The following is a 23893-nucleotide window of genomic DNA, read 5'->3' on the forward strand; positions in this document are numbered from 1 at the left end:
AGCAAACCCATAGTCTTTAAAAGACTGATCCTTTGATTCCTATCTCTCAAGTAAAGAGGTTTAGGTCATCTTCATATTACAGGAAAGTATCCCTACCAAAAACTTCTAACTAATGACTCTTAGGATTCTTCCAAAAGCAAATAGTCTTTGGGAGAAGACAGCTTCCATCAAATGCCTTTGGATCAAGTGAATCACTATATGAGATATCGGTATCTGCAAACCAAGATCCACAAAAAAAGATCCATTGTTTGTCATATTTAATCTGTATATCTTGAGTTTTCATTTTCCTAGTTAACTTTATCTTTTTATGCTTAAGGTTACATTTAATTATTTTACCTATAAAGCTACTATTCCTAATTCCTCTATGCCGTCCTTAGTCACTCTCTAGAAGAGTCCGGAAGCTGGCCGTAATTTGTTCACAATTTGGCTAAACATGCAGTTGAATCAGTGCTAAGCTGCACACATTTTCCTTAGGATGCCAATTAGAGTTTTTTTTTTTTAACATCGATTCCTAAATATGAAACATCTGGGTTTATCAATAATTGGACTCACTATTTATTGTTATTTTATCTGACAAACAGCAGAGTATTAGATAAATAGAAATCTTAAATCCTAACATGCTGCACCCAGGAAAGAAAGCTTATGCCTACAGCAGAACAGCACTTAGGGATCTTTAATAGAATGCAACTTCTGTCACTAAACCTTTAGAAAGAAATGTCTTAAAAAGAAGAGAACAAATGGCACATACTTAATTCATTTCTCACATTTACATATCATAAAAAATTCTTATTACATATTCAAGCTCCTATCACATCTACCTCTTCCTCTATGTGATAAGGTCTTCATTTTATATCCCCAAAAGTGATTAATAGCAGAATGGAGCTGAAAGCAATCAATAAACTCAATCAACCTTAATGACTGCTACTGGATTTGTGGTACCAGAACCTATTGATTATTACAGCAATCTTGACATAAACTAACATACTGATGTGGTAGTCAGAATAATGGCTCTTCAGAGATGATGCGGTCCTAATCCAGATAATTTATAAATTTGTTAGCTTACCTGGCAGGACAGACTTTGCAAATGCAATTAGAGTTAAGGATTTTGAAATGGAGAGACTATCATAGATTTTTAGATGGCCAAATGCAATCATAAGATTCTTTACACGTAGAAGAGGGAGATATAAAAGGAGAATGTGAAGACTTGCTCCTTCATTTGTAGCTTTGAAGGTCAAGGAAAGGAACTGTTATGAACTGAATATTTGTGTCTCCCTAAAATTAATCTATTGAAGATGATTGGCATTGTTCAAATATTAATAGATTATTTTCAATGATCTATTAATTGGCAGTGTGATAGTATCTGGAGATGGAGCTTTTGGGAGGAACCTAGGTTGAGATAATGTCCTAAGTGTGGTGTTCTCATGATAATGTTAGTGTTCTTATAAGAAAAGGTGGAGATACTAGACCACCTCCCACCCAACCACCCTTCTCTTTCTCTCTCCGTAAACATGTATCCAGGAAAGGCCATGTGAACACAGAGAGAAGGAGGCCATCTACTAACCAGAGAGGGAGTGGGCCCTCACCACGAACCAAATATACCAGCACCTTAATCTTGGACTTCCCAACTTTCAGAACTCTGAGAAATAAATGTCAGTTGTTTAAGTCACCCGGTCTATGGTATTTTCTTACAGTATTCCAAGCTGCCCAAGACAGGGAACATGCATCAAAGAATGCAGCTGGATTCTAAAGCCTGGGAAAGGCCAGGTCATGGATTATTCCACAGAGCCTATAGAAGGAATGCAGTCTTCCAATGCTTTGATTTTAAATCAGTAAGACCTGTGTTGAACTTCTAACCTGGAATACTGCTAGACAATAAATTTATGTTGTTTTAAACTACTAAGTGTATTGTGATTTTTATAACAGCCACAGGAAAATAATACATTTGGCAAATCAGTGCATGTTTCATGATGGTCAATGATATGCCCCAGGGTCCATCTTAGCCATGATTTCTATCCCTTCAAAAACCAAAACAAAATAAAAAAGTAAAACAAAAAGACCAATTTTACTATACTACTTGATTTTTAACAATATTTTATATGTATTTAATCCAGTATATCCAAAATATTGTCATCTCAGCATAAAACAATATTAAAATTATTCAGTTTTACATTTTTTAAACTAAATCTAGTTTGTATTTTACATATAGCATAAATCAATTCAAATCCACCATATTTCAAGTGTTCAATATCTACATGTCACTAGTAATGACTATAGTGGACAGAATTGATCCAGATTTCCAGGTGTATTGCTATAAAACTAACCATATTTTTATCTTATTAAAACAAAACAAAACTCCTCCATAACTATGTCTATGTTCCTTTTGCTTTTATTAACATTGAACATATTCTTGTTTTTAATCTAATTTTGTCTGTATTTAGGTCTATTTTTTGGTGGTGTTATTTCTTGTATGCTTGGCATCAACTTTTTTTTCAATTTCTTAGACTATCTAAACTATTATGCTCTGAGTTTAGCTCAATTTCAATCAGCTACTCACTTTGAAAGACTCATTTAACTCTCTTAAGCCATTCTCCACAAACATGAAAAATCTTCCTCTCACTCTTCCCTGCTGAAACACTGCAAAAGTATGTCAAAATGGTGTACTTTCTTGGCACAGGGTTTCAATAAACTTAGTTTTGCTTTAATAACAAATTATCTGAATATATTTCAGGGAGTTCCACTGGTAAAAGCATAAAATCATGTTAGTTCAGGTCATCTTTTGTAAAGTTATGACAGTGCCATAGTATCAATTCTTGTCAAAATTTATGACTTCAAAATCAACTTAATATGCATCAACATAGATATTTTTTAGTTAATTCTAGACTCCAGGTGCTCATTTAAATAATATGGGTACATAAGACTGAACAAAACCAGTTGCTATTGAATGTACATTTTAGAGAAATACTTCATACACAGCTGTGTTTTGTTAAATAAGGAACTTGATGACATAATCAATATCACGGCAGCATACAACTGTTTGGTTAGTATGTCTCTTTAAACAAGCACATATGCTCATTCATGGAGTGTGTATTTGTATCTGTGTATGGTCTGTGTGGTGAAGCAGCAAGCAACAGTTGGATGTCTTAATTATCTAACAGGAAAAAACACCTAAATAATCAGAAGAAATTTTGATTTATTTATTAGTTCGACTGAGCTTTTCTCTTGAATGTAACACAGATGGTCCCAGATTTACAATGGTACAACTTTACAGCTTTATCATGGTACAAAAGTGATAAACATTCAGTAGAAACAATGCTTTTATTACCCATATACCCATTCCGTTTTTCACATTCAGTATTTAATAATTTACATGTGATATTCAACACTTTATTTAAAAATAGGCTTTAGGTTAGATTTTTTTTTTGGACTGGCTAATGTAAGTGTTCTGAGCACATTTCTTAAGTGTATTTTTTTTTAATACTTTAAGTTCTAGGGCACATGTGCACAACTTGCAGGTTTGTTACATATGTATACATGTGCCATGTTGGTTTGCTGCACCCATTAACTCATTAACTACATTAGGTATTTCTCCTAATGCTATCCCTACCCATCCCCCCACCCCACAATAGGCCCCAGCATGTGATGTTACCCACTCTGTGTCCAAGTGTTCTCGTTGTTCAATTCCCACCTATGAGTGAGAACACACGGTGTTTGGTTCTCCGTCCTTGCGAAGGTTTGCTCAGAATGATGGTTTCCAGCTTCATCCACGTCACTACAAAGGACATGAACTCATCATTTTTTATGCCAGCATAGTATTCCATGGTGTATGTATGCCACATTTTCTTAATCCAGTCTATCATTGATGGACATTTCGGTTGGTTCCAAGTCTTTGCTATTGTGAAGAGTGCCGCAATAAACATACATGTGCATGTGTCTTTATAGCAGCATGATTTATAATGCTTTGGGTATATACCCAGTAATGGGATCACTGGGTCACATGGTATTTCTAGTTCTAGATACTTGAGGAATTGCCACACTGACTTCCACAATGGTTGAACTAGTTTACACTCCCACAAACAGTGTAAAAGCATTCCTATTTCTCCACATCCTCTCCAGCACCTGTTGTTTCCCGACTTTTTAATGATCGCCATTCTAACTGGTGTGAGATGCTATCTCATTGTGGTTTTGATTTGCATTTCTCTGATGACCAGTAATGATGAGCATTTTTTCATGTGTCTGTTGGCTGCATAAATGTCTTCTTTTGAAAAGTGTCTGTTCATATCCTTTGTCCACTTTTTGATGGCTTTGTTTTTTTCTTGTAAATTGGTTTAAGTTCTTTGTAGATTCTGGATATTAGCTATTTGTCAAATGGGTAGATTGGAAAAATTTTCTCCCATTCTGTAGGTTGCCTGTTCGCTCTGATGGTAGTTTCTTTTGCTGTGCAGAAGCTCTTTAGTTTAATTAGACCCCATTTGTCTATTTTGGCTTTTGTTGCCATTGCTTTTGGTGTTTTACACATGAAGTCCTTGCCCATGCCTATGTCCTGAATGGTATTGCCTAGGTTTTCTTCTAGGGTTTTTATGGTTTTAGGTCTAACATTTAAGTCTTTAATCCATCTTGAATTAATTTTTCTATAAGGTGAAGGAAGGGATCCAGTTTCAGCTTTCTACATATGGCTAGCCAGTACCATTTATTAAATAGGGAATCCTTTTCCCATTTCTTGTTTTTGTCAGGTTTGTCAAACATCAGATGGTTGTAAATGTTTAGCGTTATTTCTGAGGCCTCTGTTCCATTCCATTGGTCTATATCTCTGTTTTGGTACCAGTAAAATGCTGTTTTTGTTACTGTAGCCTTGTAGTATAGTTTGAAGTCAGGTAGCGTGATGCCTCCAGCTTTGTTCTTTTTGCTTAGGATTGTCTTGGCAATATGGGCTCTTTTTTTGATTCCATATGAACTTTAGTTTTTTCCAATTCTGTGAAGAAAGTCATTGGTAGCTTGATGGGGATGGCATTGAATCTATAAATTACCTTGGGCAGTATGGCCATTTTCACGATATTGATTCTTCCTACCCATGAGCATGGAATGTTCTTCCATTTGTTTGTGTCCTCTTGTATTTCGTTGAGCAGTGGTTTGTAGTTTTCCTTAAAGAGGTCCTTCACATCCCTTGTAAGTTGGATTCCTAGGTATTTTATTCTCTTTGTAGCAACTGTGAATGGGAGTTCACTCATGATTTGGCTCTCTGATTGTCTGTTATTGGTGTATACAAATGCATGTGATTTTTGCACACTGATTTTGTAACCTGAGACTTTGCTGAAGTTGCTCATCAGCTTAAGGAGATTTTGGGCTGAGATGATGGGGTTTTCTAAATATACAATCATATCACCTGCAAACAGGGACAATTTGACTTCCTCTTTTCCTAATAGAATGCCCTTTATTTCTTTCTCTTGCCTGACTGCCCTGGCCAGAACTTCCAACACTATGTTGAATAGGAGTGGTGAGAGAGGGCATCACTGTCTTCTGCTAGTTTTCAAAGGGAAAGCTTCCAGTTTTTGCCCATTCAGTATGATACTGGCTGCGGGTTTGTCATATATAGCTCTTATTATTTTGAGATATGTTCCATCAATACCTAGTTCATTGAGAGTTTTCAGCATGAAGGGCTATTGAATTTTGTCAAAGACCTTTTCCGCATCTATTGAGATAATCTTGTGGTTTTTGTCTTTGGTTCTCTTTATGTGATGGATTACATCTATTGACTTGCGTATGTTGAACCAGTCTTGCATCCCATGGATGAAGCCAACTTGATCTTGGTGGATAAGCTTTTTGATGTGCTGCTGGACTCGGTTTGCCAGTATTTTTGTTAAATGTACTAAATGCATTTTTTACCTAAAATATTTTCAACTTATGAGTATATCCAGATCCATCATAACACATCTTGGCCTGTGGTTATCAGGATGTAACTCATTATAAGTCGAGGTAGATTTGTATTATATCCCATGTACACACACACACACACACACACACACACACACACACACACAGACTTAATCTGTTTACAGAAATAAAAGGAATAAAATACCGTTTCTATTATACACCAAAACTAGCCATCTTGACAGATACTTCACTCTGAAAAATAACGTTTTATAGCTACTTTACAGATTAGTATAATAATTTGGTGTTTCTGTTTCAGAGATTCGATTTCACATTTCAATAAGTAGGCCGCTCCCTCTGCTAAGCCTGGGAATGTAATTCTTTTGAAAAACTATCTGTGCTGTAAAATTACATGTCATATTGGGAAAAGGACAATCGCAAACAGTAGTCACACATAAAATCAAGCAACACAGACATCCTTTTCACATACAGTGAAGACCCTTGTCAATTTTGAGATTACACAGGAAAACAGAATGGGGGACAAGTGTCTCTGACACATAGAAAATCCCGTGAAGAAGAACTCAGCTGACACAATCAAAACATACACAAAACTGAAAGAAACAAGGTGAGTGCTTTTTATATTAGTTCAGCTGTCAAGAAAGTGTAAAATAAACCTAACATTTTTTTACTAAGTGAGGATTTTCTTTTTTGAAACATCATCATTTATATTTATCCAGTTTGCAACTTCATCAGCTGAATCTCAGGATGCGTTCCATGACACTGAAGGACAATTAAATCATATCCATGACAATATATGAGAAGCTGACAGGAGAACATGGTGGCATTTGAATTAATGTCTATCATTAGATAGAATTTCTGATCACATAATTTAAGTTGTAGTTTTCCATACAATTTAATCAAGATAAGCACTTATTAGGTGAGTGATATACTTTGGCTCTGTGTCCCCACACAAATCTCATGTTGAATCGTAATCCCCACGTGTCAGGGGAGGGGTCTGGTAGGAGGTGATTTGATCATGGGGGTGGATTTCCCATACTGTTCTCGTGACAGTCAGTGAGTTCTCACAAGATCTGATGGTTTAAAAGTGTGTGGAACTTCCCCCCGGCTCTTCTCTCTACTGACACCATGTGAAGAAGGCACCTGCTCCCCCTTTACCTTCTGCCATGATTGTTAGTTTCCTGAGGCCTCCCAGTCGTGCTTCCTGTTAAGCTTGCAGAACTGTGAGTCAATTAAACCTCTTTTCCTCATAAATTACCCAGTAGTTCTTTATAGCAGTTTGAGAAGAGATAGATACAGAAAATTGGTACCAGAGAAGTGGGGCATTGCTATAAAAATACCTGAAAATATGGAAGTAACTTTGGAACTGGGTAACAGGCAGAGGTAGGAAACAGTTTGGAGGACTCAGAAGAAGACAGGGAGATATGGGAAAGTTTAAATCTTCCTAGAGACCTGTTGAATGGTTGTGAACAAAATGCTGATAATGATTTGGATAATGAAGTCCAGGCTGAGGGGGTCTCAGATGGAGATGAGGAACTCATTGAGAACTGAAGAAAAAGTTACTCTTGCTATGCTTTAGCAAAGAGACTGACAGCCTTTTGACCCGGCCCTAGAGATCTGTGTAATGTTGAACTTCAGAGAGATGATTTAGGGTATCTGGTGAAACAAATTTCTAAGCAACAGACCTTCCAACATGTGGCCTGGCTGCTTCTAAAAGTTTATGCTCATGTCCATGAAGAAAGAGATGGCTTGAAACTGAAACGTATATTTAAAAGGAAAGCAGAGCATAAAAGTTTGGAAAATTTGCAGCCTAACCATATAGTAAAAAAGAAAAACCCACGCTCTTGGGAGAAATTCAAGCAAAAATTTGCATAAGTAAAGAGGAGCCAAATGTTAATGGCAAAGACAATGTGGAATACGTCTCCAGTACATTTCAGAGACCTTTGAGGCAGCCCCTCCCATTATAAGCCTGGAGGCCTAGGAGGGAGAAATTGTTTAGTGGGATGGGCCCAGGGCCCTGCTGCTCTGGGCAGCCTCGGGACATGGTGCCCAGTGTTCCAGCTGCTCAGCTCCAACTGTGGCTAAAAGGGTCCAAGGCACTACTCAGGCCATTGCTTCAGAGAATACAAGCCTCAAGCTTTGGTGGCTTCCACATGAGGCTGGGCCTGTGGTTGTGCAGAAGGGAAGAGGTGAGGTTTGGGAACCTCCATCTAGATTTCAGAGGATGTATGGAAATGCCTGGATGTCTAGGCAAAAGTCTGCTGCAGAAGTGGAGCCCTTATGGAGAACCTCTACTAGGGCAGTGCAGAGGGAAAATGTGGGGTTGGAGCCCCCACACAGATTCCCCACTGGGGCACTCCCTACTGGAGCTTTGAGAAGAGGGTCATAGTGCTTCAGACCCCAGAATGGTAGATCCACTGACAGCTTGCACAGTGTGCCTGGAAAAGTCACAGGCACTCAATCCTAGCCTGTGAAAGCAGCTGTGGGGGCTGTGCCTTGCAGAGCCACAGAGGCAGAGCTGTCAAAGCTCATGGGAGCCCAGATATTGCATCAGTATGCTCTGGACGTGAGAGATGAGGTCAAAGAAGATTGTTTCAGAGCCTTAAGATTTAATGACTGCCTTGTCGGGTTTTGGACTTGCATGGGGCCTGCAGACCCTTTGTTTTGGCTAATTTCTCCCTTATGGAATTGGAGTGTTTACCTGATCCCTGTACCCCCACTGTTGTCTTGAAATTAACTAACTTGTTTTTGATTTTACAGGCTTATAGGCAGAAGCGATTTGCCTTGTCTCAGATGAAACTTTGGACATGGACTTTTGAGTTAATGCTGGAATAAGTTAAGACTTTCAGTCTGTTGGGAAGGCATGATTGGTTTTGAAATGTGAGAAGGACATGATACTTGGGAGGGGCCAGAGGAGAAATAATATGGCTTGGCCCTCTGTCCCCACCCAAATCTCATCTCAAATTGTAATCCCCTCATGTCAAGAGAGGGGCCTGGGTGGAGGTGACTGGATCATGGGAGCAGATTTCCACATGCTATTCTCATGATAGTGAGTGAGTTCCAAGAGATCTGATGGTTTAAAAGTGTGTGGCACTTCCCTCCTTGTGCTCTCTCTCTCCTGGTGCCATGTCAAGAAGAACCTTGTTTCCCCTTTGCCTTCCACCATGATTTTCTGAGTTTCCTGAGTCCTCCCATTCATGCTTCCTGTAAAGCCTGAAGAACTATGAATCAATTAAATCTCTTTTCTTCATAAATTACTCAGTCTCAAGTCATTCTTTATATCATTGTGAAAACTGACTACTACGGTTAGCAATCTTAAAGAATACTTGTGATTTTGAGAATCAGGCACATATTTTTTTAATAATCGGACTGCTTATAATTGTTTAACTCCTTGCAACTTATAGTTAGTGCCTAAAACTTTGATGACTTTCATTACATTTCAATGGCTCTGTTCCCTTATAGCAAACTACCTTTTTTACTGTACTTACTGTAACTACAGTGCATTTATTTTCAGCCCAAATAGTATTCAGTAATAAGCATTTCTTCCCACATAAGAATAAGTTATATTCCTATTCACTATATTCTAGAATTTCTATTTTCCTTCCACAGTGCCAGCTAAAATTAAAGTGGAATAATCTATTGGGGCCCTGTGTATTTAATGTTTGTTTTCTTAGTATATTATAAACACTGTGAAGGAAGGAAATCCTTGCCTCTTGTTTATACTTTTATCTCCATTATAGAAACACTCTGCATTATTTTCTTACTGCTGCTGTAGCCAATTACTACAAAGTTAGTGGTTTAAAATAGCACAAATATAGTGTCAAACAATTGTGTTTGTCAGATGTCTGCAATGCATCTTATGAGGCTAAAATCAAAGAGTGAGAACTGTTGTGTTCCTTTCTGAAGGTTTTAGGGGAAAATCAGTTTCCTTGACTTTTCCAGCCTCCAGAGGCTGTCCTGATTTGTTAGCTTATGGTCTTTCATTTGTTCAAACCAGAAATGCTGTGTCTCTCTGACCATTCTTTTGAAATCATACCACCTTATGTTTCTAGCCAAGAATGTTTCCCTAGTTTAAACCCATTTGATTACACTGAACTCAAAAGGACACTTTTTCATCTTACCATCCTTAACATTATAATACTTGCAAAGCCCCTTTTACCAGATAGTTAACATATTCACAGCTTCCAGAAATCAGGACATGCGGTTTTTTTTTTGTTGGTTTGTTTGTTTTGTAAACCATTATTTTGCTTACTATACTGTCTTAATTGGAGGAAGCAACTTCTTCGAATAGGTGAATTAATTTCAAATTGATAATGTGATTCTGAATGAACATTAAAGAAATCAACTATTACACCGAACATTACTTTATTGAGCTAAACAAATATTAACTGACTATATAAAATTCATTACACATTTGGAGATAGAATTTTGTACTCTTTAATAAGACTTTTTACATTTTTTGCAATCCTTTTTCTTATTTAAAAAATCAGTACTGTATTAGTACCCACAATATAAGTTTGTTCTAAGAATCAAATGAGATAAACATTTCAGACACCTATCATAGTATCAAGTTCATATCGTAAGCCTAAAATACCAGATGACTTTTATTATTTTCAGAATGTAGTCAAAATCAACATAAAGTTACATTAACACTTGGTTTACTGTATCATAATGCTAGCTTTGTGTCATATCTATCTAGAGAGTACACTGAATAGCTTAAACCAAGTAGAAGGTGATTTCTTGCTTACATAACAGTTTACCATAAGTAATTTTGGCTAAAGACGCATCTTTCCTGCAAAAAATAATTCAAGTTAACGAAGGATCTACTATTACCAAATTGTATCTTCCCAGATTACTTTGTATATATCACCATTCCAGAAGACAAAAGACTACTCATGAAATACAATTTGCACACTTCTTTATATATGAAAAATTCACTTTTCTTCCCTCTGTAAACAACTTAAAGTTTTGCCCAGTTACTGCCTACAACTTAGAGTTCAGGATGTTTCATGACGTGCAGTTCTCTCCCTCAGGCCACTATATGACTTAACGAGGACTAGTGTCCTATAAAGTCAAAAGACAAATTATCTGTAAAATCTAAGTTACCATGGTGAAGCTCCTATCAGAAGACAAAGAAGTCTGCAGAGCACTGACAAAAATATTTCTGAGCAGTACAAATATTTATTTGATGAAACCATAAACATGTCCTGTGGAAATAACTTTAAGGTCCATTGTCCCTGTGGCTCATAGATTTACTTTCTGAGGTAATTTACATTTTCTCTTATTCTCCATGCCTCCATCTTAAATTAGAACAATGAGTGTTTTCTCAGCATGACTAATCAATTGCACTGATTAGTGCAATTTGGGATGCTTGAGGATATTTTAAGCCTTAATTTTTTTTTCTCACAATAGGCTTATTGTACCTTTGCCAAGTAGTTACGTGGAAACCATTTATTTATTTATTGGATCTAGTTTATAACCAAACATACAGTTCTTTCCTAGGTATAATTCTAAAGTCTGCCTCATTTCCTTCTTTTTTCTCCTCCCCAACACACATATGCTTCTCTGACTGTAAAGATGACCACTTTAAGGTCATTTGAAATCATAGACTTGAAAGAGAAAACAACTTCCCTGATGAGTTCTTTGCTTCAGGGCTGGGTTCCTTGTTTTTTATGAACACAGTAGGATTTAATTTCTGAGCAGCTTTTTCAACCTAATCAGAAAAACCTGAGCTTTTCTGTCACTGTATAATTCCACCATTACTAGACTTTTTGTTTACAAGTGGTTTCCAACAAGGAATGACTTTGTTTCCATAGAACACTTGTCAGTGTCTGGAGACATTTTGAATTATAATGATTAGGTGGTGATGCTACTGGTATGTGGTGGTATAGCCTAAAGATACTATTAATATCCAACAATGCAAAGAATAACCTCCCACAGAATGCAGGAATATCAGGCATAAAATGTCAATAATGCTAAGGTTTAGCAACTCAACTCTATCCACTTTCTTTCCACTCTAAAGACAGGATATTTCTTTTTTCTTTTTTTTTTTTTTTTTTTTTGCCTGTGTTTATCTATTTCTTGGATTATGGAACAGAACAAACATGAACACATTACCTTTTGCCTTTCCTCATTTCCCACACTCTTTCCTAGAGGTAATATTAAGCTTCCAATTAATTTTAGATGGTAGTTTCAATAATTTTTTTTCACTGGGTATTACAAGTCTTCATTTCAACCCTCTGAGTTTGGTTTACTTGTCCATTTAATACTAATTTAGTGGATACGTTTTAGGTGCTGTTATGGCAGACCCAACTCAAGCTGGTGATTTCTATATTACTTGGAATCGTGCTAGTTGCTTTGACAACTACACTCAACAACATATAATATCTTAAACAGAACAGAAGTTTCATTCATATAAACTGTTTTTTTAAGATAGGAAAAGCATTGCTCCTTTATGTCCGCATTCAAGAACATAGGCTACTAAGGTATTTAATCTGCAGTATGTTGCTTCCAAGACTACTGTAGAATTGGCCGTTCCAGTCAAGCATACTGAAAAACGTATACAGAAGAGTGCATGTTGGGATTTTGGAGACTAAATTGGATATAAAATATGTTATTTCTACTAATTTTCCACTATTTTGACTTTAATCCCATGCCCTAATATAAAGTATATAAGAATGAGAAACATAGTTTATGTATCTATCAAAATAGAACATAAATGTTTGTGAACATTTGAATCTGTCAGCTTCTCTTGCTCACGTGCCTGTAGTGCCTGTACTCAGGATGCTGAGGCAGGAGAATCGCTTGAACCCAGGAGGTGGAGGTTGCAGTGAGCTGAGGTCACACCACTGCACTCCAGCCTGGGCAACAGAGCGAGACTCCATCTCAAAAAAAAAAAAGAAGTGACTCAACTGATTGATGTGTAAAACCTCATTGTAAAATAATGTTCTGTAAATGAGACATTAATACAGTTAAATTTTTGGATTAAAAAAGTCTGCCACTTTGTGAATATGTTTTATTTAGGCTTGATTTAGTTAATTTTCTTTTTTCTTTTTCTTTTTCTTTTTTTTTTTTTTTTTTCTGAGGAGTTTCACTGTTGCTGCCCAGGCTGCAGCGCAGTGCTGGGATCTCGGTTCACTGCATCCTCCACCCCGCCAGTTCAAGTGATTCTCCTGCCTTAGCCTCCTGAGTAGCTGGGATTACAGGCACCCACCCACCACCATACCCGGTCAATTTTTTGTGTTCTTAGTACACATGGGGTTTCACCATGTTGGCCAGGATGGTCTCGAACTTCAGACCTCAGGTGATCCGCCCACCTTGGCCTCCCAAAGTGCTGGGATTACAGGCATGAGCCACCGCACCCAGCCAGTTAATTTTTCTATTAACTAAGACCTAATTAAGATTGAGGCAGAAGAAATGGGTCCTTGGGATTTGAAAATTACTATTCAATTTGGAAGTTTAATTTGCAACATAGATTGTCTGTTATTAAATTACTAGATATAATATCACAAAGGTGGAAAGAAAGGTTGCTTAGTTAAAGATCTAAGTTACTAGTCATGGTGTCAGATATAGAGAATGATTGAAGGTTATCAGAGTCACACACCAGATGAGTAAATTGTTGTTTTCAAGGAAGAGGTTACATAAAGGTAAGCGGAGTAATATTTCAGCATTTTTGTTAATTAAAAATTTGTAAAGTTATTTCCATTTCAAGGAAATTACTCTCAGTAATTTTACGGGTAAAATGACAAATTCCAAGTTTAATTTTCACATGTAACACCCTCCTTGAGCACTTATTTTTATAAAGCTATTAATCTATTTTGGTCTCAATTTACCTTTCTTTAAAGAGATTTTAAAATTTTCTGAAAGAAGTTGACATCTGGAAGTGTAGCTGTTATATTTTTCCATTTTTAATTACATATTTAATTATCCTTTAATTACTTAAGGTTATTCTCAAAAGTGAAGAGATAGCTGGGATCACACTGCGTAAGATTTTACTCCTGAATGTAATATTCAAAAATGTTACAAAGTCTATCAAAGAGGTTTTCATTCTGTGACAATACATGGTCAATTTGACATGGTCAGGAAGCACCACCCCCACTGAGAGATACCAAATTATGGAGTAAACCACCGTAATTTAGGCAGATCTTGAGAGAGAAAATGCTGAGTGGATGCAGAGGCAGCAATGAAGCTGAGCTGAAGAGGGAGGAAGCCTGTGCAGGGAACCCAAACACTACAGCTAGTTCCCCAGAATGGCTCCTAGGAAAGGGCCTCTGCCTGAGAGAGACCTGTGGCCTAGAACACCTAACACAAGAAACACAGTGATTGCAGGAGACTCCCCCAGGGCCCAGGAGCACATCTGGTGATGGAGGCATCTCTCCCACCCCCACTATAGAGCACACCTGCAAACAAAAGGAAGTATAAAACAGCCATGCCACTGGGTATTAGGCTAGCCACTGGCCATCACTCTTAAGCACTATGCATTGGATCACATCCCAAACTACAACATCAAAATTTATCCTGCTACATATACACCTGTGAAACCAAACACAAGAATTACTCATACATAAAAATCCTGGACAGAGAAAGCCCTGACCCTTTGAAAGCATCCAGAAACAAAACCAATTGCCTATACTCAACATACACTACAGTTAAAGGAACACTAACCCTACCAGAAGAGAAAAAATCAGTGCAAGAACTCTGGCAATTCAAAAAGCTAGAGTGTCCTCTTACCTCAAAATTAGCCCACTAGCTACCAAGCAATGGTTCTTAATCAGTCTAAAATAATTGCAACAGACATAGAATACAGAACCTCGATGGCAGGGAAGCTCATGAACATTAAGGAGAAAGTTGAAACCCTAGCCAAGTAATCCAGTAAAGCAATCTAAGTAAGTGCTGAAAGATGAAATTGCCATTTTAAACAACAGCCACACTGAATTTCTAGAGCAGAAAAAATTCAGTATAAGAATTTTATAATACAGTAAGAAATATTAACAGAAGGTAGGCCAAGCTAAGGAAAGAATCTCAGAGCTCAAAGACTGGTTCGTTGAATCAACTGAGTCAAAAGAAAATTTTAAAAAAGAATTAAAAAAAGAAAATGAACCAAAGCTTTAAGAAATATGGAATTATATAAAGAGACCAAATCTACGACTCATTGTCATTCCTAGAAGAGAAACAAAGAGAAAAGGCAACTTGGAAAATAGATTTGAGAATAGAGTCTATGAAAATTTTCCTAACCTCGCTAGAGAGAGTGACATGTAAATCCAAAAAATACAGCAAACCCAGCTAGGCACTATAAAAGGTGACTATCCCTAAGGCACACAGTCATCATATTCACCAAAGTAAATACAAAAGAAAAAAAAAATCTTAAAGGCAGCTAGAGAGAAAGGTCATGTTTTCATAAAGCAAGAACTCCACTAGGCTAGTAGTAAATATCTCAGCAAAAACCTTACAAGCCAGAAGAGATTAAGGGCCTATGTCCAACATCATTAATGAAAATAAATTCCAGGCAATAATTTTATATTTCACTAAACTAAACTTCCTAAGTGAAGAAGAAACAAATTTCTCCTCAGATAAGCAAATACTGAGGGAATCAATTTCAACTTGACCAGCCTTATGAAAGGTCCTTAAGGGAGTGCTATACATTGAGTAAAAAGAATGACACCTGCTACCACAAAAACCCACTTAAGTACATAGCTCACAGGCACTATAAAGTATCTACACAATCAAGTCTACCTAAAAACCAGCTACAAACGTGATGATAGGATCAAAATCTCATGTATCAACATTAACCATAAATGTAAATAGGCTAAACACCCCCACTTAAATGACATACAATGGCAAACTGGATAAAAATGCAAGGCTCACCATCTGCAGTCTTCAAGAGACTCACCTCATATGTAATGACAGCCACTGGCCCAAAATAAGGGGATGGAGAAAATCTGCCATGCAAATGATAACAAAAAAGCAGGAGTAACTATTCTTATATCAGATAAAACAGACTTTAATCAAAATTAAAAAGAACAATTGAAGAATGAAGAGCATTATGTCATGAGAAAGTATATGATCAAACAAGAATACTTAAGTACCCTAAATATAAATGCACCCAACATGGAGCACCCAGATTCATAAAACAAGTTCTTTTTGGACTACAAAAAGACAGACGACCACCCAATAACTGTAGGAGACTTCAACACCCCCGCTGGCAGCACTGGATCATCAAAGCAGATAACTAAGGAAGAAACTGTGTACTTAAACTTCACCCTTGACCATCTGGACCTAATAAGACATCTACAGAACACTCCACTCAATAACCACAGAATATACATTCTTCTCATCTGCACAGGGAACATATTCTAACATTGACCACATGCTTGGTCATAAAGCAAGTCTGGATAAATTTTAAAAAATGAAATCATATCAAGCACACTCTTAGATCTCAATGTAATCAAAATATAAATAAATACCAACATCTCTCAACACTACACAAATAGATGAAAATTAAACAACTTTCTCCTGAATAACTTCTGTGTGAAAATCAAAATTAAGGGAGAAATTTTAAGAAAGTGAAATTAATGAAAATGGGAACACAAATTACCAAAATCTCTGGGATGCAGCTAAATCAGTGTTAAGAGGAACGTTTAAATGCCTTTATCATAAAGTTAGAAATACTTCAAATTAACAATCTAACACTACACCTAAAGGAACTAGGGAAGAAAAAAAAAAGAACAACCCTACATCAACGCTAGGAATGAAAAGAAACAACTAAAATAGAGAAGATCTGAATGAAATTGAGATGCAAAAATCCATACAAAAGATTAATGAAACCAAGAGTTGATTTAAAAAAAGAGATTGATAGACCTTTAGCTAGATAAACAAAGAAAAAAAAGAGAAGATCTAAATATATAAATCAGAATGACAAAAACGACATTAAAAATGGTCCCACAGACATACAAAATAATCCTCAGAGAATACTAGGAATAACTCTAGACACAAAAATTAGAAAATCTAGAGGAAATGGATAAATTTCTGAAAACAGGCAATCTTCCAAGATTGAATCAGGAAGATACTGAAATACTGAAGAGACCAATATGAAGCTCTGAAATTGAATAAGTAATAAAAAATCTACCAAGCCAAAAAGCCCTGGACTATATGGATTCACAGCAAAATTCTACCGGAAGTATAACGAAGAACTAGTACAATTCTACTGAAACTATTCCAGAAAAGTTGAAGAGAACGTACTCCTTCCTAACTCACGCTGTGAAGCCAGAAGCAGCTTAATACCAAAACCTGGCAGAGACGCAAAAAAAAAGAACATTCAGGTGACCACTGTTGACGAACATAGACTCAAAAATTCTCAACAAAGTACTAGCAAACTGAATCCATCAGCAGCATATCAAAAAATTAATCTACTATGACAATACAGGCTTTATTCCTGGGATGCATGGCTGGTTCAACATATGCAAATCAATAAATGTGATTCACCAGATAAACAGAATTAAATCAAAAACCATATGATCATCTCAACGGATGCCGGAAAAGCTTTCAATTAAATCCAGTGTCCCTTCATGAAAAAACAAAACAAAAAAAAACCCTCAACAGTTGAGGCTTCAAATAAGCATACTTCAAAATAAAAAAGAGCTATCTACAACAAACCCACAGCCAATATAATACTCAATGGGCAAAAGCTGAAAGCATTCTCCTTTAGAAATGAAACAAGCCAAGGACATCCACTCTTACCACTCCTATTCAACATAGTACCAGAAATCCTAGTCAGAGCAATCTTGCAACAGAAAAAGAGAAAAGCACCCAAATAGGAAGTGAAGATTAAGGCAAACTATCTGTCTTCACCCAACAATATCCTTCTATACCTAAAAAACCTTAAAGACTTCAACAAAAGTCTACTAGAAATGATAAAGGATTTTAGCAAGGTTTCAGGATACAAAATCAATGTACAACAATTAGTAGCATTTCTATACAACAACAACATCCAGGTTGAGAGTTAAATTAAGAACACAATCATATTTACAACACCTAGGATGAAAATAAAATCCCTGCAAATACAACTAACCTAAGATGTGAACGATCTCCACAAGGAGAATTACAAAACACAGCTGAAATCTGAAGCTGGATGCAGTGGTTCATGCCTTTGGGAGGCCGAGGCAGGTATATCGCTTGGACCCAGGAGTTTTGAGACCAACCTAGGCAACATAGTGGAACCTCATCTATACAAATTTTTTTTTTTTTTTTAAATAGCGAGGCATGGTGGCACATGCCTGTAGTCCTAACTACCCTGACGGCTTGAGGCCAGGAGTTCAAGCCTGCAGTGAGCTATAATAACTCCACTGCATTCCAGCCTGGGTGAAAGGGTGAGACTCTGTCTCAAAAAAGGAAGGAAATAAGAAAAGGAAGGAAGGATGGAAGGAAGGGAGGAAGGGAGGGAGGGAGGGAAGGAAGGGAGGAAGGGAGGGAGGGAGGGAGGGAGGGAGGGAGGGAAGGAAGGAAGGAAGGAAGGAAGGAAGGAAGGAAGGAAGGAAGGAGATTTTGATAACACAAATAAATGGAATAACATTCCATGTTTACAGATTAAAAGAATCAATATGTTAAAATGGCCACACTGCCCAAAGCAACTTGTAGATTCAAGGCTATCTCCATGAAACTACCAACATCATTCTTCACAGAATTAGAAAAAACTATTCTAAATTTATATGGAACACCCCCAAAAGCCAGAATGGCCAAAGCAATTCTGAGCAAAAATAATAAAGCCAGAGAGGCGTCATACTACCCAATTTCCAGCTATACTATAAGTGTACACTAACCATGATACTGTTACAAAAGCAGACACTTAAGCCAATGGAACAGAATAGAACACTCAAAAATAAAGCTGCACACTTACCACCATCTGGATCGTGGACAAGGCCAACAAAAACAAACAATGGGGAAAAGGCACCCTATTCAATAAATGGTGCTGGGATAATTCGCTAGCCATAAGCAGAAGAGTGAAACTGGATGCTTACCTTCCACCATACACACAAATTAATTCAAGATGGATTAAAGGTTAAAATGTAAGACTTCAGATTATGAAAACTCTAAAACAAAACCTAGGAAATATTTTTCTCGACATTGGCCTTGGCAAATAATTTTTGGCTAAGTTTCTAAAAACAATTGCAACAAAAACGAAACTGACAAGTGAAAGTCAATCAAACTAAAAAGCTTCTGCACAGCAATAGAAACTATCCACAGAGTAAACAGACAACTTACAGAATGGGAGAAAATATTTGCAAACTATGCATCTGATAAAGATCTAATATAACAAATCCATAAGGAAGAAAAAATGACAAGCATAAAACAACCCCAGTTAAAAAGGGCAAAGCTAATACAGGAGCAGAAAATCAAACTCCGCATCTTCTCACTTATAAGTGGGAGCTGAACAATGGGAACACATGGACACAGGGAGGGGAACAACACACAATGGGGAACAACACACAACACACACTATAATTTTCTGTAGGGGGTTGAGGAGAGGGAGAGCATCAGGAAAAATAGCTAATGCATGCTGGGCTTAATACCTAGGTGATGGGTTGATAGGTGCAGCAAACCACCACCACACACGTTTATCTATGTAACAAAACTGCGCTTCCTGCACATGTACCCCAGAACTTAAAATTTAAATCAAGAAAAGGCAAAGGACATGAACAGATATTTTCTCAAAAGAAGACACTCAAGTATATGAAAAAACACTCATCCTTACTAATCATCAAATAAATAAATGCAAGCAAAAACCACAGTAAGATGCCATCTCACATCAGTCACAACAGCTATAATTAAAAAGTAAAAAAATTAGATGTTGGCCAGGCTGCAGAGTAAAGGGAATGCTTATACACTACTGTTGATGGAAATGTAAACTGGTTCAGGTACTGTGGAAAGTATTTTGGAGATTTCTCTAAGAACTTAAAACAGAGATACCCTTCGACCCAGCATTCCCATTACTGGGTATATATTCAAAGGAAAATAAATTATTCTACCAGAAAAATATACATGCACTCGTACGTTCATCAGCATGTTATTCACAATAGCACAGACATGGAATGAACCTAGGTGCCCATCAAAGGTGGATTGGATAAAGAAAATGTGGTACATATACACTATGGAATACTATGCCTCCATAAAAAAGAATGAAATTATGTCCTTTGCAGCAACATGGATGGAGCTAAGGACATAATCCTAAGCAAATTAGTGCTGGAAAAGAAAACCAGATACCACACATTCTCACTTATAAGTGGAACCTAAACACTGAGCACACAGGAACATTAACATGGGAACAAGACATGCTGCAGGCTACGGGGGTGGGGGAAAGAGGGGAGCATGGGCTGAATAACTACCTACTGGGTACTATGCTCACTACCAGGGTGCACTGTACAAAAGTAACAAATCTGCATATGCACTATCTGTGTCTGAAAAAAACTGAAATTATAAAAACCAAGAGAATATGTTTCTAATGAACGTAGACTTTATTTGATGGACTGGATTAGAATATAATTTTTTTTAAGGGGAAAGGCATTGGGGGATGCACAATGTCTACAGGTTTCTAAACCTCTCTGGTTTCTCACCTAATTCATAGTCTCTTATGTCATTTTCATAGTTTTCATATTCTGCCTTTCCACCTCTTCTTTTTAACAAGTAAAATTCCTCATAGCATACAAAAAAACAATTTTATAAAAAACCCATATTATAGATCAGGGACCTGTGGATTATATGCTATTAGAACTATACAAAATGTCTCTATATAGTTTTCTGTATCTTTGGAATATCTTTGGGTGAAGCTGCAGACCTTCTCGGTGAGTGTTACAGCTCTGCGCAGAGCCAAACAGTGAGCAGCAGCAAGACTGCAAAGAGCAAAAGAACAAAGCCTCCACACTGTGGAAAGGGACCCTAGCACGTTGCTGTTGCTGGCTCTGGCAGCTGCTTTTATTCCCTTATCTCACCCCACCCACATCCTGATGATCGGTCCATTTCATAGAGAGCTGATGGGTTCATTTTACAGAGAGCTGCTTGGTCTGTTTACAATCCTTTAGCTAGACACAAAAGTTCTCCAAGTCCCCACCAGATTAGCTAGACACAGAGCACTGATTAGTGCGTTCACATACCTTGAGCTAGACACAGCATGCTGATTGGTGCATTTACAATCCTCCAGCTAGACGTAGTAAGTTCTCCAAGTACCCACCGAACTCAGGAGCCCAGCTGGCTTTGCCTAGTGCATCCCGGCCGCGGGCGGAGCTGCCCGCCAGTCTCTGGCGCGCTGCCGCACTCCTCAGCCGTTGGGCGGTTGACGGGACCGGGTGCCGCGTAGCAGGAGGTGGCGCCCGTCCCCTCGGGGTGGCGCGCGGGAGCCTGCGGTTGGGGGGCGGGGGGCGGGGGGCGGGGGGCAGGGGACGGGGGCGGGGAGGAGGGTGAGGGCTCCAGCATGGCAGGCTGCAGGTCCCGAGCCCTGCCCCCTTGCCCCGCGGGGAGGTGGCTGAGGCCCAGCGAAAATTCGAGCGCGGCGCCGGCGGGCCATCACTGTTGGAGGACCCAGTGCACCCTCCGCAGCTGCTGGCCCGGGTGCTAAGCCTCTCACTGCCCAGGGCCGGCGGCGCCAGCCGACCGCTCAACAGTGCGGGGCGCGCCGAGCCCGCGCCCACCCGGAAGTCGCGCTGAGCCCGCGCCCACCCGGAAGTCGCGCTGGACCTGCGAGCACCGCAGGCAGCCCAGGTTCCGGCCCGCGCCTCTCCCTCCACACCTCCCCGCCAGCAGAGGGAGCCCGCTCAGGCCTCAGCCAGCACAGAGAGGGGCTCCCACGGTGCAGCTGCGGGCTGAAGGGCTCCTCAAGCGCGGCCAGAGTGGGCTGAGGCCGAGGAGGCGCCGAGAGCCAGCGAGGGATGCCAGCAAGCTGTCACCTCTCAGAAATACAGGAAGAACATCAATAATGTTCGAAGTTATAAAGTAGTAGGTTTCTATCAAGAGTAAAACATAAACGAAGTTATAAAGTAGTAGGTTTCTATCAAGAATAAAACATAAACGATCAAAGAATTCCTTATAAAAACATTTTTTATTTCTAGGAATCAAAACATAAATATAAAATTTGAGAGTCCACCAAAAAAAATTAGATGCCAGATTTCACTATAATTATCAGGGAAGCGCCCAAATGGGTTGTTTACGGCGCCTCGGGGAAACTTTCTGTTTCGTGTTAAGGGTCTTGAACCATGATGTTTAGAAAACCATGGGCTGATGCTTTCAGAACCTCTGTGATTTTTGCCTCTGACACTGCATCCAATAGACTAGCATGTTGATTAGGGAAAGCTAAATTCAATAAAAGACGACTGTAAGTGGGGTCACCACCTTGAGGGGTCATGTTAGAAAAGTAGATGATAAGGTGGTATTGATAGAGTATTGAAGTCTGGGCTCAGATGGTTGCCCGGGGCCTTTCAAGACCAATGACTGATAAGAATAGGTAATGTTCAGGACATAGAGTTTAGGATTGGGGGACACTGTGAGTTAAGGGCCATGACAGAAGTCTTCATAAGTAAACTGTTAATTGACACAAGCTGCTACCTGCCCAGGTGAGCAATCTGTTGGCCCAGAGGAGAGTTGCTTACTGACATAAATTGATTTGCAGAAATTTCCTGAAGCAAACAATAAGTTATTTATTGGTTTGCAGCCTTACTTTCCTGAAAAATAATTTTCTGGAATGAATTGTGAAATCATGTTGACACAGATGGCCTCAGGTTTCAGTTCGGATAATTAAGCTGTGTAAATATAGAAAGTCGAAGGTTTCTGGGTGCTGTTGATTCACAGTATGCAACAATGATCATATTACTTTTATTTACTATGAGCTTCAGCTGAAAATCCAAAAGAAACTTTAATTTCAGATATTTAATGAAATCATTATAGCTGTGGTAATTTCCTTTAGCTGGGTGTGAGTGTGTGATGTGAGCGTGTGATGTGTGTGTGTGTGTGTGTGTGTGTGTGTACTCTGGCAGCATATTCCAAATAATTTCTGTAAAATTTCAGTTTGAAATTAATAGAAGACATATTAAATTGTTTAAACTCTTTGTTATTTAAATTCTATATTACTTTAGTCGATTACTCTGTATTATTACGGCAAAGCTTTGATATGTTGCCCTGAATTTAAATGAAAAGGCTGTTCGGCCTAAAAACAGGAATATTTTATTACCAAAAAGAATTAACTACCATATGTCATTTACAGAAAAGAGTAAATTCTTCAGGGCATAGAAAATACACATTTCCTTCTGTTTGTGTGGAAATAAGCAAAATACCTGTTATAATAGATTCCTCACAGAATTTTGTGAAGCTTCAGGTAAACTTGAAAGAGAAAAATTAAAATGCTAGAGTTTCATAATTACAAATTGGGATATAAAAATAGAATAATTATTTGAATTTTGTATTTCTCTCCAGGGGATCAAAAGTAATATATAAACTTTTAATAAATATTGATATAGCTTCACGTTGACTCCATATGTGAGCAATTTGCTTTCTGTTAAATTCACAATTGCATAATTTTTTTCAGGCTGGAATGCACTTGGATGCCAGAGATTTTGATTTCTTCATGTGACATAAGATGATAATACATTCCAAAGTATATATTTTTTCAACTTTGAATATATCTGGTGTATTTGGAGTAATATCTGAGTAAATACACTTATATGTAAGAGAATCAAAGGAACAAGATATTATTTTATATCCAAGGAAATTAACACTTAGAACATAAATACGTATTGCATTACTTCATATTAAAGAAATGTTTTACAAAAGAAAATAAAGGAGCTTATTTTATAGCCCCATTTCCACAAATAATAGCAAAGGTACATACACATATCTAATGTTTTACACACTCATTATTGTTTCTCTTAAAATTTGTTGCTTATACTATTTTAAAAGGCAAGCCTATAGATTGTTGTGTGTATATACATATACACACAACATACATATGTGTGTGTGTGTGTGTGTGTGTGTG

General features: G+C 37.9%; 1 pseudogene across 1 annotated transcript in view; it reads right to left on the minus strand.

Moving 5' to 3' along the window:
• The window catches only part of GUSBP14 (GUSB pseudogene 14), a 162716-nt pseudogene extending 141588 nt beyond the window's left edge, over positions 1 to 21128 (minus strand). Inside the window, exon 1 of the transcript NR_029426.1 lies at positions 21027 to 21128. The product of NR_029426.1 is annotated as a GUSB pseudogene 14, transcript variant 1 (transcript). The remainder of the gene's footprint in view (positions 1 to 21026) is intronic.
• Between the last annotated feature and the right edge of the window lie 2765 nt (positions 21129 to 23893).

This window comes from Homo sapiens, chromosome 5 (assembly GCF_000001405.40).
Source record: "Homo sapiens chromosome 5, GRCh38.p14 Primary Assembly".
In the NCBI taxonomy this organism is placed as follows: domain Eukaryota; kingdom Metazoa; phylum Chordata; class Mammalia; order Primates; family Hominidae; genus Homo; species Homo sapiens.